Here is an 18886-nt window from a genome sequence, read left to right as displayed (position 1 = left end):
GATGAATTGTGTAGTCTTTTTTCCTAGAGTTTTTAAAGTATAATTGTGGACTGAGACATTTTTAGATTCATTTAAATCCTGCAGAGAAGAATGGCTTCTCAAGGAAATGTCTATTCAGATTTTGATCACTCTCTTCTATTCAGAACTCACTGCTCTCTTGGATTTTGAAGCACTGTGCACCTCTGTTGTCCTATAACTGTCTCACCACCCTCTCTTTCATGCATCTCTCCACTGCAGGTGTTGCTCAGGGTTCTCTCTTGGACCCTGTCCTTGCACCTCCCCTGGTTGGTCTTTTACACTCTCATTTCAACTCTCACCAGTATGCCGGTCACTCATCATCCATCTTATGTCCAGTTCCTTGCAGAATTTCCCAGCTGCATGTCCCATGGACATCTCAGATCCAGCATGTTCTAAATGCAATTGATTTTCTTCTCTTCTGCCTTGTTCCTGCCCCTCTATTTTGGTTTAATTGGTGGTCATGTCATGCACTTTATCAACCTTGGAGTCTTTAACTCCTTTGTCTCCCTTACCATCCTCATCTAATCAATGACCAAGTCTTACCATTTTTGTTTTATAAACATTTCTGGAATTTGTTCATTCCCTTCTATGCCCACAACCATTGCTCTCAATAGCTCTTGCAATGATCTCCAAACTGGCTTTTTTGGTTACCACACATCTGCCTTCCTCAGCCTCCAAGGAAGTCTGTTGGAAAGGCCTGTGTGGCCTTGTTCCCTCTCAATCTAAAATCTCACAACCTTTTCACATAACCCCTAGAGAATAAAGTTCAAACTCTTTGACCTCTTAGGAACGCTCCACAATCTGGCCTTTGCTGTTCTTTCCACCTACATTCCTTTCCTTCAAGTTTATGTTCCAGCAATGCTAAAACCTCTGTAGTTCTCACACAAACCAGGCTGTGTATTTCCTTCTGTGCCGTGTTCACGTAAATCCCTCTGGTTGGAAAACAGACATTCACTAGCCAACCTAGGTAATGCTCATCTGTCATGTAAGATTCAGTTCAAGTGTCCACTCATCCAGGAAGCCATCCTCTTTGAACTGCTTACTCCTTTCCATCCCTTACCTATTTCATCATGATTGTCCACTTATGTTTCTCTATCCCTCCCTAGACAGTGAGATCCTTAGTTGCAGGGCTTGGAGCATTTTTACCTTTGTGTTTCCAGCACCCAGAACAATTTATGACACACAATAGATCCTCAATTAAATTTCTATTGAATAAATAAAACCCACAATTATCTGTTATTATATGTTAACTATCAAAATTAATGAATCTCTTTTTAGTCTCTCAAATGAGTTTGTGCTGTTTAATTACAACAATAGCAAATGATAATGCTTATATTTTGAATTTTCAACTTTGATGACTCTGGATTCAGTTACCTATCATTGGAATAGAAATTAATAGAAATTTCCTGGCGAATAAACCTGCCATTGGCTTTGATTAAATCTTTATTTTATTTAAATAGCACATTTCCCTTGTACTATAGGCAGTCCAACCAATGCAGGAACAAGTGGTCTTGATTGATTTATTTCCCTCTCTGTCTCCATCTCTCTGTCTTTGGTTTTTATACACTCAGAAGGCCAGAGCTTAAAGGGAATGTAATCACTACCTAGTACAGTCCCTCATGAGTCAGTTAGGGAAAATCAGGCCTGCAGAAAATGAGTGTCTTGCTTCTGTCACACCTCAAAAGTCCTCCCTTCTTTGGTAGATGGCCTTTTCATACATTTTACTAAATGCATCAGTTAAGTCCAAAAGAATACCTGTGTTACAGCAAACACTGGCAAATCTGTCTGTTGGGCAACTTTATTCACCTATTGTCACAATTATATCTGAGGGCATCCTTAGGTGACCTCTGTTTCTTGTTTCTGCGTATTGTAGTGCCATGATCATGCTTACATTTGTAGCCTGATGGTTAGCTTGTCATTTTCACAGTGTTTTATGTATTATTATTATTACCTGTTGATTACTTTCCTGCATCCAAGGTGATACATCTTCAGATTATATCAATTACTTTATTCTTCTACACCTACGATTAGCTCATTTTTTTCTCTCTTAGGTCTTTGAAATACTTCTTATTGCCATTTATCTTATCTCAGTGGCCATGTCAAACCAATCAGGCATTGAGTCTTTTCATTGGCACATTTTCCTGTCTGCAAGCTTGTCAAAGCAGAAACAGACATTATGAAATTATATTCATTGAATTATATTCATTGTTTGCTTTGGGTAATGTCATTGTGACATTTATAGTTTGTCTTCACCCTTGGCCTGCTCTTATTGACAGAAGAATGTAGATTTTCTTCAGGTTTCCTGTACAATAACCCTTGATTTCTTTTCAACCTTAAATTCCTCAGTGTTAAAGTAAGTTGATGTTAATTTCTCTGCTTTCTTCTTTTGAATGATCCTTTAAAACATAGATTTACAATGTATATTAGTCCATTCTCATGCTGCTAATAAAGACATACCCAAGACTGGGTAATTTATAAAAGAAAGAGGTTTAATTGACTCACAGCTCAGCATGGCTGGGGAGGCCTCAGGAAACTTACAATCATGGTAGAAGATAAAGCAAACACATCCTCCTTCACATGGTGACAGCAAGGAGCAGTGCCAAGCAAAAGGGGGAAAAGCCCCTTATAAAGCCATCAGATCTCATGAGAACTCACTCACTGTCATGAGAACAACATGAGGGTAACCACCCCCATGATCAAATTACCTCCCACTGGGTCCCTCCCACAACATGTGGGGATTATGGGAACTACAATTCAAGATGAGATTTGGGTGGAGACACAGCCAAACCATATCATTCTGCCCCTGGCCCCTTCCAAATCTCATGTCCTCACATTTCAAAACACAATCATGCCCTTCCAATAGTCCCCCAAAGTCTTAACTCATTCCAACATTAACTCAAAAGTCTAAGTCCAAAGTCTCATCTGAGACAAGGCAAGTACCCTCCGCCTATGAGCCTGTAAAATCAAATGCAAGTTGGTTATTCCTAGATACAATGTGGGTACAGGCATTGGGTAAACACAGCCATTCCATATGGGAGAAATTGGCCAAAACATAGGGACTAAAGGCCCCATGCAAGTCCAAAATCCAGTGGGGCAGTCATTAAACCTTAAAGTTCCAAAATGATCTCCTTTGACTCCATGTCTCACATCCAGGTTATGCTGATGCAAGAAGTGGGCTTCCATGGCCTTGGACAGCTCTGCCCCTGTGGCTTTACAGGTTTCAGCCCCCTCCCAGCTGCTTTCGCAGGCTGGCATTGAGTGCCTGTGGCTTTTTCAGGTGCATGGTGCAAGCTGTCAGTGGGTCTACCATACTGGGGTCTGGAGGATGGTGGCCCTCTTCTCCCAGATCCACTAGGTAGTGCCCCAGTGGGGACTCTGTGTAGGGGCTCCAACCCCACATTTCCCTTCTGCACTACCCTAGCAGAGGTTCTCCAAGAGGATCCCACCACTATAGCACACCTCTGCCCGGACAGCCAGGCATTTCCATACATCCTCTGAAATCTAGGTGGAGGTTCCCCAAGCTTAATTATTGACTTCTGTGCACCTGCAGGCCCAACACTACATGGAAGGTGCTAAGGCTTGGGGCTTGCACCCTCTGAATCAATGGCCTGAGCTGTACCTTGGCACCTTTTAGCCATGCTGGAGCTGAAGCAGCTGGGACACGGCACCGTGTCCTGAGGCCACACAGAGCAGGGGGCCCTGGGCCTGGCCCAAGAAACCATTTTTGACTCCTAGACCTCTGGGTCTGTGATGGGAGGGGCTGCTGTGAAGGTCTGTGATTTGCTCTGGAGACATATTCCCTATTGTCTTGGTGATTAACATTTGGCTGCTCATTAATTATGCAAATTTCTGTAGCAGGCTGGAATTTATCTCCAGAAATTTTTTTTTCTATCTCATCGTTAGGCTGCAAATTTTCCAAATTTTGTGCTCTGCTTCCTCCTGAATGCTTTGCTACTTAGAGATTTCTTCTGCCACATACCCTAAATCATCACTCTCAAGTTCAAAGTTCCACAGATCTCTAGGGCAGGGGCAAAATGCCACCAGTCTCTTTGCATAACAAGAGTGACTTTTACTCCAGTTCCCAACAAGTTCTTCATCTCCATCTGAGACCACCTCAGCCTGGACTTCATTGTCCTTATCATTATCAGCATTTTGGTCAAAGTAATTTAACAAGTCTCTAGGAAGTTCCAAACTTTCCTGCATTTTCCTGTCTTCTGAGCCCTCCAAATCTCTAGCAAGTTCCAAACTTTCTCACATTTTCCTTTCTTCTTCTGAGCCCTCCAAACTGTTCCAACCTCTGTCTGTTACCCAGTTCCACAGTTGCTGCCACATTTTCAGGTATCCTTATAGCAGCACCCTACCCTACCAGTATCAATTTACTGTATTAGTCTGTTCTCATGCTGCTAATAAAGACATACCTGAGACTGAGTAAATTATAAATGAGAGATGTTTAATTCATTCACATTTCAGCATGGCTGGGAAGGCCTCAGGAAACTTACAATCATGGCAGAAGAGGAAGCAAACACATCCATCGTCACATGGCGGCAGCAAGGAGCAGTGCCAAACAAAAGGGGGAAAAGCGCCTTATAGAACCATCAGATCTTATGAGAACTCAGTCACTATCAGGAAAACAGCATGAAGGTAACTGCCCTCATGATTAAATTACCTCCCACTGGGTCCCTCCCATGACACATGGGGATTATGCGAACTACAATTCAAGATGAGATTTGGGGACACAGCCAAACCATATCACAATGTTAACTCTTATTTCTTTGCTTTAATATTAATGTGATATGTGTCATGTTGCCTGGGTCCGTTTGTATTATATGAATAAGGTCACTGGATTTGGTACTGCCAATACACTTATCTCTTGCTCTTGCTACCTGACTTGAGACAGCAGAAAATATTTTTCTCTGTCTGGATTGTGATGTTTTATTTCATTGTTATGAGGTTTGCAGAAACCTGAGATACAGCATGTTTCTCCTTGCAGTTTGCACCCATCAGTTCGCTCTGTCTTGATAATGAGACTCTTTTTTCCCAAAGAGAGAAAAAAGAAAGGAAAAAAATCTGTCCCCTGGATGCACACATTTGCTTGCTTCTGTCTTTGTGAACCTTCCCCTAGGCCCTGGAGAGGGAGCCAGTGTTTGCTTCCTCGGGAGGACGAAAGCTGGGCTGCAACACTTGCTCCCCAGCATGACATCAGAGCCTGCTGCTGGGCCTGCAGAGTGGGAACAGCCAAACTAGACCAAGGGGGTTCCTCCCCGCCACTCCTCTCCCTTGGACTCAATGGGAGCTGGGGAATGTTCTTTCCAGACCTTATAGTCTTATTAGGATCTATTTTTGTTTTTCTTTCTTGATCCCTAAAGGAAGCATAATGCTACCATGATATCAAACAGCTATGCAGATTGCCCTGGCAAAATGAATCATACATTTGCTTCCTTCACAGAAACCACGTTAGTCACCACCAGTGTTCTGCAGCAGAAGGCATTTTCTTATACAGGTCCTTCAATGGACTCTTTTTTATTTCCCATGTAACAATTTTGTTTTTTCCTTTTTTTAATTTTTGCCACTTTTTTTTTTGGAAAAAAACGGATTATTTCAACTCTAATAAGTCTCCTTTTGTGTTTTTTGAATGTTTTTGAATTAAAAAGAAAATCCATAATTGTCATGTTCCGATATGCCTTCCTCATGCAGGAATTTTAATCTAAATGTAGAAGAGTGCTTCCTAATTCTTGTAAGTCACTGAGTGATATATTGAATAAAGCTTACAGTTAATTACTGGTGAATGAAACAGCTTGTAATGTTTTAACCTCCAAGTCAATATATGGCAATATTTCAAACATGATGCATTTTCCACCACTTATCAACCTTATTTAATCCTACTGTAGCTTCATTTTTAGGATCTCTAGAGACAGGAAATCTTTTTAAAGAGCTGTATTAACTGGTCTTTCTGTTCTGCCTATGTAGTTTTCTGCTTGTCTAGTGCTGCCCTCTGGTGACCATTTCTTGAATTACGGGCCATAGATTTTTGCATTTTAGCCTGGGGGTGGGAGGTGGGGAGTTGGGGGACGTGGGGGGTGCGGGGAGTGAACCAGCAATTTTTAAAGTGTATGCAATATCGTTGCCTTTGTTTATATCCATGTTCCGCTGTCAAATAAAATCTGCAGGCCAGAGAAGATTTCATTCTAGAGCATTACTGGATAGAAATACTAAGCCCAGTTCAGACATTAAGGCCTGCTTTATATTCACCAGCTGGCCATGTGTGTTTCTTAGTTGGGTTGAATAGAGATGGTAGAGAGGAATTTAGCCCAAGAAATGAAGCTTTTCCTTATGGTTTCCTCCTTTTTCTTTTTAAAAAAGTTCTTTTCCACTCTAGATGCCAGCCTTACCGATAGCTTCTAAAGCCTTCTCTCTTGCTCCCAGGCTGAAGTCAGAATTGCTTGTTGGAGTTAACAGTCCAACACCATTCCTCAGGTCCCCAGTAACATCCCCATGGAGCTTATAGAAACAGACAGAGGAAGGAGGAGGCAAATAACTTTTCACTGATATTTGATTCCTATCAATAAATCTGGGAGTCACAGAGCCTTCTATAAACCCCTCTGGATATATGTATATAATCAGCCACCACGCCTGGCTGATTTTTGTATTTTTAGTAGAGACGGGGTTTCAAAATGTTAGCCAGGCTGGTCTCGAACTCCTGACCTCAAGTGAGCCACCCGCCTCAGCCTCCCAAAGTGCTGGGATTATAGGCGCGAGTCACCGTGCCCAGCCATGCAGGGCGCATTTGAGTGAATAATAACTAGTATTTGCTGACTATGCTGGGAACAGATAAATGAAGCCAAAGTCCCAGCTGCCTTGGACCTGAGAGAGGTTTCTAATTTGGTATTAGCATAAAGGGATTTGTGAGTGTTTGAGAGAAGGAAGGCAGGAGGGAGAGGATATTACTCTGCACCTGCTGCATGTGCAAGATGCTGCCCCAAGATTTATTCTCCTAACCACCCTGTCCAAGATGGAAGAACTATGGCCTAGAAAGATTTCACAACTTCACAAGGCCACATGGTTTAAACTAAAATCCAGGTTGGCCTGGCTACAAGGCCCACAGTCCTCCTAGAATACCATGAGGCTGTGGGGAGAGGGTTCAAAGATTGGATCAGTGGTTAGGGGAGAGGCACTGTTGATGGACTGAACATCTCTGGATTGTATTGTGGACTTGTTCTGTGGCTGTTTTCCTCGCATCATGATGCTCTGCATTGTAATGCGTGGTAGAGGGCAGGGAGGGGCAGTGAGGTGGGGCGAGGGAGGTGAATCTCAACACATCTGGACAACTCTTTAACATCCTGCGCTGGGCATGGTGGACCTTTTCTAGTTTAATGTACAAGATGGGCACCAGAGGAATCTGGCTATAGGAGGCAGTAACGCCTTACTGGGAACTGCTTGCTTGCTTTTTTGCTTTTCATAAGAGATGAGTGTGATGAGTACATAAATATCTGCTATGATATTTTCTATAGCTTTCTATTGAAATATTTCTTAATTTAAAATTAAAACAGTGAAAAGGGTTAGGTGAGCTTGGTGGTATGCACCTGTGGTCTGAGCTACTCAGGCTGCTGAGGCAAGAGGATCGCTTGAGCCCAGGAGTTTGAGGCTGCAGTGAGCTTTGATCACATCACTGCACTCCAGCCTGGGTGACAGAGCAAGACCCCATCTCTAAAATACAAGAAACGAAAACGCTAAAAGAGAGCAAAGGCAATTTTGCCCACTATCTTTTCCCTTTCACAGGTGACACAGTATCAGGGAAGCTGCTTGCAAGGACTTTCAAATTTCTAAGAGGGTTAGAAATCACATCTCACTTAAACTGAGTTGCAATGAAATGTTTTTCAATTAAAAGCAATTAAGTCTTACACAGAACAGAATAGAGAACCCAAAAACAAATCCACACACCTACAGTCAACTCATTTTTGACAAAGGTACCAAGAACGTACACTGGGGAAAAGACAGTCTCTTTAATAAATGGTGCTGGGAAAACTGGATATCCACATGCAGAAGCCTGTAATCCCAGCTACTCTGGAGAGTAGATTGACCCCATCTCTTGTCATGTACAAAAATCAAATTAAAATGGATTAAAGACTTAAATCTAAGACCTCAAACTATACAACTACTACAAGAAAACATTGAGGAAACTCTCCAGGACATTGGTCTGGGCAAAATGTCTTGAGTAATACCCCCCAAGCACAGGCAGCCAAAGCAAAAATAGACAAATTGGATCACATCAAACTAAAAAGCTTCTGCACGGCAAAGGAAACAATCAACACAGTGAAGAGACAACCCACAGAATGGGAGAAAATATTTGCAAAATACCCATCTGACAAGGGATTAATAACTGTAATAGATAAGGAGCTCAAACAACTCTATGTAAAAAACCTAATAATTTGATTAAAAATTGGCAGAAGATTTTAATAGATATTTCTCAAAAGAAGACATACAAATGGCAAACTGGCATATGAAAAGATGCCCAAGATTATCGATCATCAAAGAAATGCAGATCAAAACTACAATGAGTTATCATCTCACCCCAGTTGAAATGGCTTTTATCCAAAAGATAGGCAATAACAAATGCTGTTGAGGATACGGAGAAATGGGAAAACTTTTACATTGTTGGCAGGAATGTAACTTAGTACAGGTACTATGGAGAACAGTTTGGAGGTTCCTCAAAAAACTAAAAATTGGCTGGGCGTGGTGGCTTATGCCTGTAATCCCAGCACTTTGGGAGGCCAAGGTGGGCAGATCATGAGGTCAGGAGATCGAGACCATTCTGGCCAACATGGTGAACCCCTGTCTCTACTAAAAAAAAAAAAAAAAATACAAAAATTAGCTGGGCATGGTGGTGTGTGCCTGTAATCCCAGCTTCTCGGGAGGCTGAGGAAGGAGAATCGTTTGAACCAGGGAGTCGGAGGTTGTAGTGAGCCGAGATTGCGCCACTGCACTCCAGCCTGGTGACAGAGCGAGACTCCGTTTAAAAACAAAACAAAACAAAACAAAAAAAACAACAAAAAAAACACACTAAAAATTGAGCTATCATGTGATCCAGCAATACCACTGCTGGGTGTATACCCAAAAGAAAGGAAATCAGTATATCGAGGAGACACCTGCACTCCCATGTTTGATGCAGCACTGTTCACAATGGCCAAAATTTGGAGGCAACCTAAGTGTCCATCAATAGATGAATGAATAAAGAAAATGTGGTACCTATGCATAATGGAGTACTATTCAGCCATAAAGAAGAACGAGATCCTGTCATTTGCAACAACATGGATGGAACTGGAGGTCATTATGTTAAGTGAAATAAGCCAGGTATGGAAAGACAAACATTGCATATTTTCACTTATTTGTGGGATCTAAAAATCAAAACAATTGAACCCATGGAGATGATAGTAGAAGGATGGTTACCAGAGGCTGGCAAGGGTAGTGGGAGGGTGTGAGGTGGGGAGTGGGAGGTGGGGATGCTAAATGGGTACAAAAAATAGAAAGAATGAAAAAGACCTAGTATTTGATAGCACAACACGGTGACTATAGTCAATAATAAGTTAATTGTACATTTCAAAATAAGTAAAATAATATAATTGGATTGTTTGTAACACAAAGGATAAATGCTTGAGGGGATGGACACCATTTTACATGATGTGATTGTTATGCATTGCATGACTGTATCAAAACATTTCATGTACCCCATATATACACCTACTATGTGCCCCCAAAAATAGAAAAAAGCAAACAAAACAAAAATCAATAAAAGCAATACATAGCCTTAAAGTATTTCCTGAAGTCCATGTTGGGGTGCTGTTGCTTACATCCTTCACATGTAAGATTAAAAACTACTACAACAACAGGAGGCCCATGTAAAGTGATCTGTTCATGGTCAGGGGAAAAGCAAGTTTAAGATGACATCACAAACACAGAACAGCAGAGTCATTAAAACCATGAAATTTAGTTGGAAGTGTTCCAAAGCACTCTACAGGCTTCCTCTGTTAAACTACCATTCTGGGAAAAGAAGTAAGACTAGGGTCGCAATCCACATTTCTCCCATCCTTTCTCATATTTAGAGGATAATTGTGTACATTATCTGAACTGATCATCACAACTGCTCTGAGAAGAAACATAAACAGAGACATTAAGTGATTCACTGAACTGCAGAGCTGGTTGGTGATACAGCGGCCTCACTCCAGGTCCCACAAGTACCATCTGCACCATTCGGAGATTTGTTCCAGCTGCATCCCTCTGTGTCTGCATCAGCCCCCGACTGGTTCCCACTGCCCTGGCTTCTGGGAGGTGACTCACCTGTTCATGAGACCATGTTCTTTCAGAACCATCCTTGACACAGATGTCCAGCCTCAGCTCTGTTCCGGTGGCTCCATGCTTGCTGTCCACACAGAGATTTGCTGCCACATTTCGGATCTGTGGAAAGAAGAAAGAATTTTGAGTGTGGGGCTATGTCGTATTTTATCATTGGCTCCTAACAACCATGGTGTAGATTAAGTAAGACATAGATTATCTTTTTGGTTACATGCATATTGAATGAGACCTTGAATTTGTATGCAATTTATGGAGAAAAATCAAGGAATTAAATGTAACATTGAAGCCATCTTCACAGGCTTAACAAGAATTCTGGAAAGAAATATAGTTATAATTCAATATTAATCAGTCTGTACTTTGACCCACTTCCTTGTAACTGAAAGTCTGTAGCACTAGACACTGACTATTTGCATCTCCATTGTTCCTATACATAGGATTTCTGATGTTAGAATCATAAGGTTTTTGCTTAAGAATTGCTTAAGCAGATATTGAATTCCAGTGGAACAGCTGACTGCAGCCAGTTTAAAGACCCTCACAGAGGAAATGGATCAACATGAGAATATTGTTTCTTCATCTCCCTGTCCCATGACCTTATGCTGCTCTCTGTGACCAATCAATGATTTCCTAACTTCAGCCTACTCCAAAACCCTTAAAAATCCTAGCCCCAAACTCCTTGGGGAGACAGATTTGAGGTTTCCTCCCGTCTCCTCATTTAGCGGCCCTATAATTAAACTCTTTCTCTGCTGCAACCTCATATCTTGGTGTATTGACTTGCTGTACACATCAGGCAACAGGCCTATTATGGTTAAAACATGGTCTACTCGACATGCTAAAGAACATGGGATGGTTAAACAGCCAAACTGCAGCTGGTTGGGGCAAAGAATGTGTTGATAATGCAACATAGGCAGTAGCCTAGAGTTTATGACTTCAGTAAAATGGGAGACTTTTCTTTTCAGATAGTGCTTAATTTGGAATTTATTATCTTCCTGCTTCAAAGCACCTTCTACCACTATCATGCTAGCGGGAGAGAGATCCAATATGAGGCGGATGTTGCAGTTATAGGATGTGATGGAGGCGAGTGAACCACTTAGCCCTGCATGGTTCTGTGCGGAACATGGTGACCTTTGGCTTCAGTTTGGCTACAATGGTCTTGGTCTACACCTATTGTCATAGTTTAGCATTGCTTTTGGATGATAAATTAAATGTCACTCTAGAGTATTAGCAAAATAGGAAAGACAGTGTTATTGCTGAAATACTGTAATGGATAAAGATTCTCTACATAAAGCCTGACCTTTGAAAATTTGCAGAGTGGAAAAAAGGATAATTCTTTACAATTATGTTAGCACTGATATAAGGAACTCAATACTTAGAGGTGGGAAAAGAGTGGTGATAAAAAGTGTCAAAAGCTGAAACAGCAACAGAAGTAGAGTCTGGGCAGAGACATGTCCTTTTGTCATATCTTGTTTTTTTTTTTGAGACCAAGTTTCACTCTGTCACCCAGGCTGGAGTGCAGTGGCGCAATCTCGGCTCACTGCAACCTCCACCTCCCAGGTTCAAGCAATTATCCTACCTCAGCCTCCTGAATAGCTGGGATTACAGGCGTGTGCCACCACGCCAAGCTAATTTTGGTATTTTTATAGAGATGGGGTTTCACCATGTTGGCCAGGCTGGTCTTGAACTCCCGACCTCACTTGATCCACCTGCCTCGGCCTCCCAAAGTGTTGGGATTACAGGTGTGAGCCACCACGCCTGGCCCTTCCATCATATCTTCCTGCTTGAAGGTTTCGCCAATCTTCCTGATAGTGTCAGAAGCACAGCCTGTAGCAGAGATGGATATTCTTGATAGTTTGCTATTTAGGTGTGTATGCTTACAGAAAGTCAATGATCTTAATCCTTTTTAAGCCCTTATATAGTCCTGGATTATGATAATACCTTCAGGTCCTTATAAGAATGGAAACAAAACCAGGATGGGCCCAACTGATGATTTAACCAAGGTTCTTTTGCCTGGATGAGTAGATAAGGAAAGGAGTCTCTGCAACAGAAGAATACCCACCTGGGCCTGTTCCTGCTGGGGTGGGCAATGAGGCAGAGAGGAGGTTTTTATGAAATATACGGAGTATCATGAAAGGAATAAATAATGCTGGGACAGAATGGTGGTGGTGGAAAGAGTAGTTCATATTTCATTTATTCTAGGAGTAGAGGTTGGGGATGCCAGTCAGGAGGGAATCAATGTGGTGGGTACTAATCTCCTTATTCAATAGGGACTTAGGCAACAGGTTGGCTTCATCTGCTACTGCTGGGGCTCTGCTTTCAGGATCTCTGTCCCTGATGACAAGGTAATGTGAAATAATGCAGAGTACAGGGGAACAGTTCTTAACCTGGTTTTGCCTACAGATTTCTCTGAGAATCCAAGGAAAGTGGTGGACATTTTTGAAACAAACAAACAAAACTATAAGTGGATATGTCCAAGCACTTTCAAGTTGGTTTTCCTGGAACCCATCGACTCCAGATTTGAACCCTGAATTAGGGAAAATGCCTGCCCTGACCCCTTGGGAACTAGTTGCATTCCTTCTCTCAGTGTAGGAGATCTAGAAAGACAGGGAATGAACTTGGCTGGTTGTCAGAAGGCACCTGATTTGCTCTCATTTCTTTTACCTTTACTACACCTTCCTTGAAATAAGTACCAGGGAGGAACTTCTCTCTAGAATTTGTGAAGCCAAGCTTAAAATACACGTTTTGTAAAATCAATTTCCTGATGTGTGATGGAGTTTCTCTAGTGAAATAGAAACACCCAGAAGGTCAAAGGTAGATTTTGCTATTGCTGTCTTGAGCCTGGCACACTCTGTAAATCTCCTATTTGATCTCCTTATCTGAGTGCAGCGTGTTGGTTTTCTAAAGCTGTCTATAACCTGAAAGCTACCTGACAGAACTCTGAGCAGGCCTTTCTTTTCATTCTTGGGCCATTTAACTCACAGACACACTCTTCTTAGAGAACCAGTATCAGTTTATACTGAAGACAACTTCAAGGCACTATTTTTCTCTCTACTTGAGTCCAGGAGCTCTGAACACATTTGGGAAGAAAAAGCAGCTGCTTGCAGGTTCATGGCCAGTGGGTCCCAGGGGAGAAGCTTACTCTCCTATGTCGGCTGGCATTTGAACTCACATGTGGAGCAGCTCTGCTCCTGGAAAAGGAGGATGTGGGGGAGAAAAAAACATACCCAAGCCAGGAACACTGAGTGACAAGTCTGCCAAATCTGCCTGTGGATATGCACCAAAGCCTATTGGAGTGCCTTGTTTTGTTTTTAAATGTTATGAGCTCAAAAGGCCTCTGGCAGGGATGGAGGATACCATTTTCTAGACTCTTGAATTTTCTAAATTCTCACTCAAGTGGCATCTGTGTAGACAATGGGATAAACTGCTTTGGAAGCCAAATTTCAGGTTTCAAAGGCATAATTGTCTACATCTGTGTAAATTCCAGCAAAAAGTTGTGCCAGAGAGGAAATGCTGTGAGTTCACTATAGGATAAGGTAGGCAGCTGGATATGAGATTAATATCCAGCTCTTCCTCAAGATTAGTATCCAGCCATTCCCACTTGCTTCTCTTCTTACCTGTCCACCTGCTTCTCTCCAGCACATGTTCAGATTCTCTCATTTTGCTCACAAACTCAACTCCATTAAAATAAACAAGTGGATACAATTCTAATAGAACTGATTCTAATACTTGTTTATTCACGCTAATAATATATTTTTTTTAAATGTAGACAAGAACACTTATGATGATTCATATTTTTTCAACATGGGCTCTGTACCTCTGGCTGAAGGTGAAGCAGTTCACACACATACACATGGGCCCAAACTTAGGACACGGGATATTAAATATGTCTATGGCAGAATCAATCATTTTCAGGCCTTATTCCTTTGATGCCCAGTTTCAGGGCTTGACAGCATTGCAATTGTGTCACGGAATCCTGAGAGACACTTAACAGGATTAGAAAATGAGGCAGTGCTTGGCTAGGAATGGGTGGGAAGGAGAAAAATGAGGAAAAGGAGAATCATAATTTGTGACAGGAATTACCGAGATAATCTCCTTTTGGGCAAGGATCAAGAAAAGGTCTGGCAGAGAGTAAAGGAGTTCTTTAGGTCTGCAAGGGAAGTCAGGCTTAGCTTAATACCGGCCCCCCAGCTCCCAACACAGGAGGTTTTTATCAGAGAGGTACAAGAGAAGGGGAATGTGGCATAAATGTCAAGGAGCCTAGTAGATGTGGGGTAGGGGATTCAACTGGCTGTTAGAGAGGGACTAGCCTTAGCTTAACAAATGAGCCAGCATGGTCTGCTAATTCCTCCTGGTAGCCTTAGGTCTTTTAAGTAAGAAGTGGTGGGTTCATTCCTCATTCAACATTTACTAGGTACCTGCTATGTCGTAGGCACTCTGCTGGAAACCAGGTATACAGCAAAAAATTAAAAAAGAACCAGTCCTATCCTTTGTGCACCTGATGGTCTAGTGAGGACATCAGAGAGGACCTGAATGGAAGAAAGGCTTGAGACTTCCAATATTTCTGGCTGTGAATTTTTAACGTGGCAAAAAAATTAAGATGCTCCCTTTTATGGACTATAGTTGATTTTATTTATTTATTTATTTAGTTAGTTAGTTAGTTAGATGGAGTTTCACTCTTGTTCCCCAGGCTGGAGTGCAATGGCTCAATCTCGGCTCACTGCAATCTCCACCTCCTGGGTTCAAGCAATCTTCCTGCCTCAGCCTCCCAAATAGCTGGGATTACAATCATGCACCACTACTCCCAGCTAATTTTGTATTTTTAGTAGAGATGCGGTTTCATCATGTTGGGCAGGCTGGTCTTGAACTCCTGACCTCAGATGATCCGCTGCCTTGGCCTCTCAAAGTGCTGGGATTATAGGCGTGAGCCACTCTGCCCAACCTCTGGACTATAGTTGATTTTAGAATGCAAATTTATTTGCAGAGCTGGAAAGACAGAAGACACTAGGGTAACACAGAAAGAGAACTGGATGGAGACTAAGCAGGTCTGGGTTCTGCTCAGGAGGTACAAATGAGGTTCCCTATAACCTCATTTTTTTTTTCAAGAGATAGGGTCTTGCTCTGTTGCCCAGGCTAGACTGCAGTGGCGTGTTCACAGCTCACACAGCTTGCCACAGTCTTTAACTCCTGGGCTCAAGCGATCTTCCCTCTTCAGCCTCCTGTCCTTTTTAAAGCTCAATTCATCCATTTACAGGAAGTCAACATTCTGAGAGTGATTTTGAATGAAAGGCACTTTGTAGTTAGAAATTCAAAGACTAAGAAAAACTGGCTTCTGTTCTCAAGGAGCCCACATATATCAGGGAGACATTACTCTGAAGACATCTTCTTAAGAGACTAAATGCTAAGTGAGACCTGAAGAGGAAATGACCGTTCTGGGTGAGATGGGCTTGGAGCACTTGGTAGGATGGATGACATTGGAAGGGGCCCTGGAGGATGAGTAGAATTGAATGTACACAGTAAAATGACAGAAGGACACTATTGCCTTAGGAATCAGAAATGAATACGGATATTGAAGTTTGACAGTGTACAGCATTTTTTAGGGAATGGCACATGATATAGCATGGCTCAACATAAGGTTTGTAAAATGAAGACGATCATGCCTCAGAGGGCAGTTGTGAGGATTAAACAGATGCATGCGAAGTGCCTGGCACAGTGTTTGTACGTTGCAAGTGGTCAGTAAATGTTAGCTACTATTTATTTGTTTGTTAATTTTTTTGGCTGAATTGTCTGTGATGGTAAATGGGGTGCTGCCATGGCCAAATCACATTTCTATTGTATCATGGGATTGCTCACGGCACTTAAGTCGAAGGAGAATGCAGATGAACAAGCCTTGGCCCAGCATTGCAGGCCTGTTCTTCAGTGTGTATCACTGGTTAATCTTCACTGTGTCTTACACAATCCCCCAAGATCTCAATTTGGCAATTTGAGCGCCACACCAAACATACCCACCTCCCTACCCCTCAATGAATGAACAATTTCTGCTGATTCTAGTCCTAGGTACTGAATGTCCCACTCCTTTCCTCTCCATCCCAGTCTCCCAGCCCTTTGACATCTTCTCATGAGCTGTTTTAAAAAATTGTGATAAAATATACATAATGTAAAGTTTATTATTTTAACCATTTTAAATGTTCAATTGAATAGCATTAAGTGCATTCAAAATGTTGTGTAACCATCACCAAGATCTATGTCTAAAATATTTCATAATTCGAAACAGCAACTATTAATCATTAAGCAATAACTCCCTACTTCCCCTTCTCCCCCAACCCCTGGTACTGTCTATTCTACTGACTATAAATAATATTTTGTAAACCTCATATAAATGGAACCATACCGTGTTTGCCATTTTGTGTCTGGCTTATTTAACTTAACATTGTAGCATGTATCGGAACTTCATTTCCTTTTAAGGCCAATATTCTTTTTTTTTTTTTTTTTTTGAGACGGAGTCTCACTCTGTCCCCCAGGCTGGAGTGCAGTGGCCCGATCTCGGCTCACTGCAACCTCCGCCTCCTGGGTTCAAGTGATTCTCCTGCCTCAGCCTCCCAAGTAGCTGGGACCACAGGTGTGCACCACCACGCCTGGCTAATTTTTTTGTATTTTTAGTAGAGACAGGGTTTCACCTTATTAGCCAGGATGGTCTCGATCTCCTGACCTCATGATCCACCCACCTTGGCCTCCCAAAGTGCTGGGATTACAGGTGTGAGCCACCATGCCCGACCTCATATATATTTATATGAATAAACACATATATAAATATATACATATATAAATATGCCAAATTTGTATCCATTCATCTATTGATGGATACTTGCACTGTTTCTACTTTTTTATTTACTTTTTCTTGAGATGGAGTCTCACTCTGTCACCAGGCTGGAGTGCAGTGGCACAATCTTGGCTCACTGTACTCTCCACCTCCTGGGTTCAAGTGATTCCGCTGCCTCAGCCTCCTGAGTAGCTGGGACTACAGGTGTGCACCACCACACCTGGCTAACTTTTGGTAATTTAGTAGAGACAGCGTTTCACCATGTTGGCCAGGATGGTCTCGATCTCCTGACCTCTTGATCTGCCCACCTCTGCCTCCCAAAGTGCTGGGATTACAGGCGTGAGCCACTGCTCCTGGCCTGTTTCTACTTTTTGGCTACTGTGAATAATGCTTCTGTGAACACTGGCATGTAAATATCTTTCCCATCCTTGTTTTCAATTATTTTGCCCATACACCTAGGAATGAAATTGCTGGGTCCTAAGGTAATTCTATGTTTAACTTTTTGAGGAACCATGAAAGTGTTTTCCACAGTAGCTGAACCATTTTACATTCCCACAAGCAATGTACAATGGTTCCAATTTCTTCATATTTTTGCCAACACTTGTAGTTTTTTTGGTTTATGTAATAGCCATCCTAGTGGATGTAAACTGGTATTTCATTGTGGTTTTGATTTGCTTTTCCCTAATGACTAATGATGTTGAAAACCTTTTCATTTGTTTATTGAGCATTTGTATAGTTTGGAGAAATGCCTATTCAGGTTCTTTGCCTATTTCTGAATTGAGTCATTTGTGGTTTTATTTTTGTTTAAGGAGTTTTGAAAATATATATTCTAGATCTTAATCCCTTATCAGATATATGACTTGTAAATATTTTATCCTATTCAGTGGGTTACCTTTTCATTCTGTCAATTGTGCCTTTGATGCACAAAAGTTTTAACTTTCATGAAGTCCAATTTATCTATTTGTTTTCTTTTGTTGCCTGTGCTTTAGTGTCATATTTAAGAGATCATTGACATTCCAATGCCATGGAGATTTTCCCCTATGTTTTATTCTGAGTTTTATAGTTTTAGCTCTTATGTTTAGGTCCATTTAGAATTAAATTTTGTGTATAGTGTAAAGTAAATTTTACAACCTCATTTTTTTGCACGTAGATATATTAGTTTGAAATGGCTTCCGAAGGAAAGCACCACAAACCAAGTGGATTAAACTACAGCAATTTATTGCCTGACAGTTTTGGAGGCTAAAAGACCAAGATCAAGGTGTTTGCAGGTTGGTTCCTCCTGAGGGCTGTGAAAGAGAGTACATAATATGCTTCTCTCCTAGTTTCTGGTGGTTTGTGGCAATCTTTGATGTTCCTTGGCTTGTTAACATATCATGCTGGTTTCTGCTTTTATGTTCACTTGATGTTCTGTTTGTGTGTGTGCTGGTGTCCAAATTTCCCCTTTTTATGAAGACACCAATCATATTGGATTGGGGCCCACCATACTCAGAATAATCTCATCTTAATTAATTACATCTGCAATAACCTGATTTCCAAATAAGGTTACATTCTGAGGTACCAAGGATTAGGATTTCAACATATAAATTTTGGGGAGACATAATTCAATCCATTAGTAGTGGATATCCAGTTTTCCCAGCACCATTTGTTGAACAGACTGTCCATTCCTTATTGAGTGATATTGGCACCCTTGTCAAAAATCAATTAACTTTG

At 41.6% G+C, this 18886-nt stretch overlaps 1 protein-coding gene across 7 annotated transcripts in view; it reads right to left on the bottom strand.

The window, feature by feature from the left end:
- Positions 1 to 18886, bottom strand: part of GALNTL6 (polypeptide N-acetylgalactosaminyltransferase like 6) — a 1228156-nt gene that overhangs the window by 21915 nt on the left and 1187355 nt on the right. For all 7 annotated transcript variants that reach the window (NM_001034845.3, XM_017008244.3, XM_011531993.3 and 4 more), the window contains one exon: positions 10351 to 10467. In NM_001034845.3, the coding sequence (NP_001030017.2) occupies positions 10351 to 10467 (117 nt within the window). The remainder of the gene's footprint in view (positions 1 to 10350; positions 10468 to 18886) is intronic.

This window comes from Homo sapiens, chromosome 4, assembly GCF_000001405.40.
Source record: "Homo sapiens chromosome 4, GRCh38.p14 Primary Assembly".
Lineage (NCBI taxonomy): Eukaryota > Metazoa > Chordata > Mammalia > Primates > Hominidae > Homo > Homo sapiens.
This window is presented reverse-complemented; position numbering and strand designations above follow the sequence as displayed.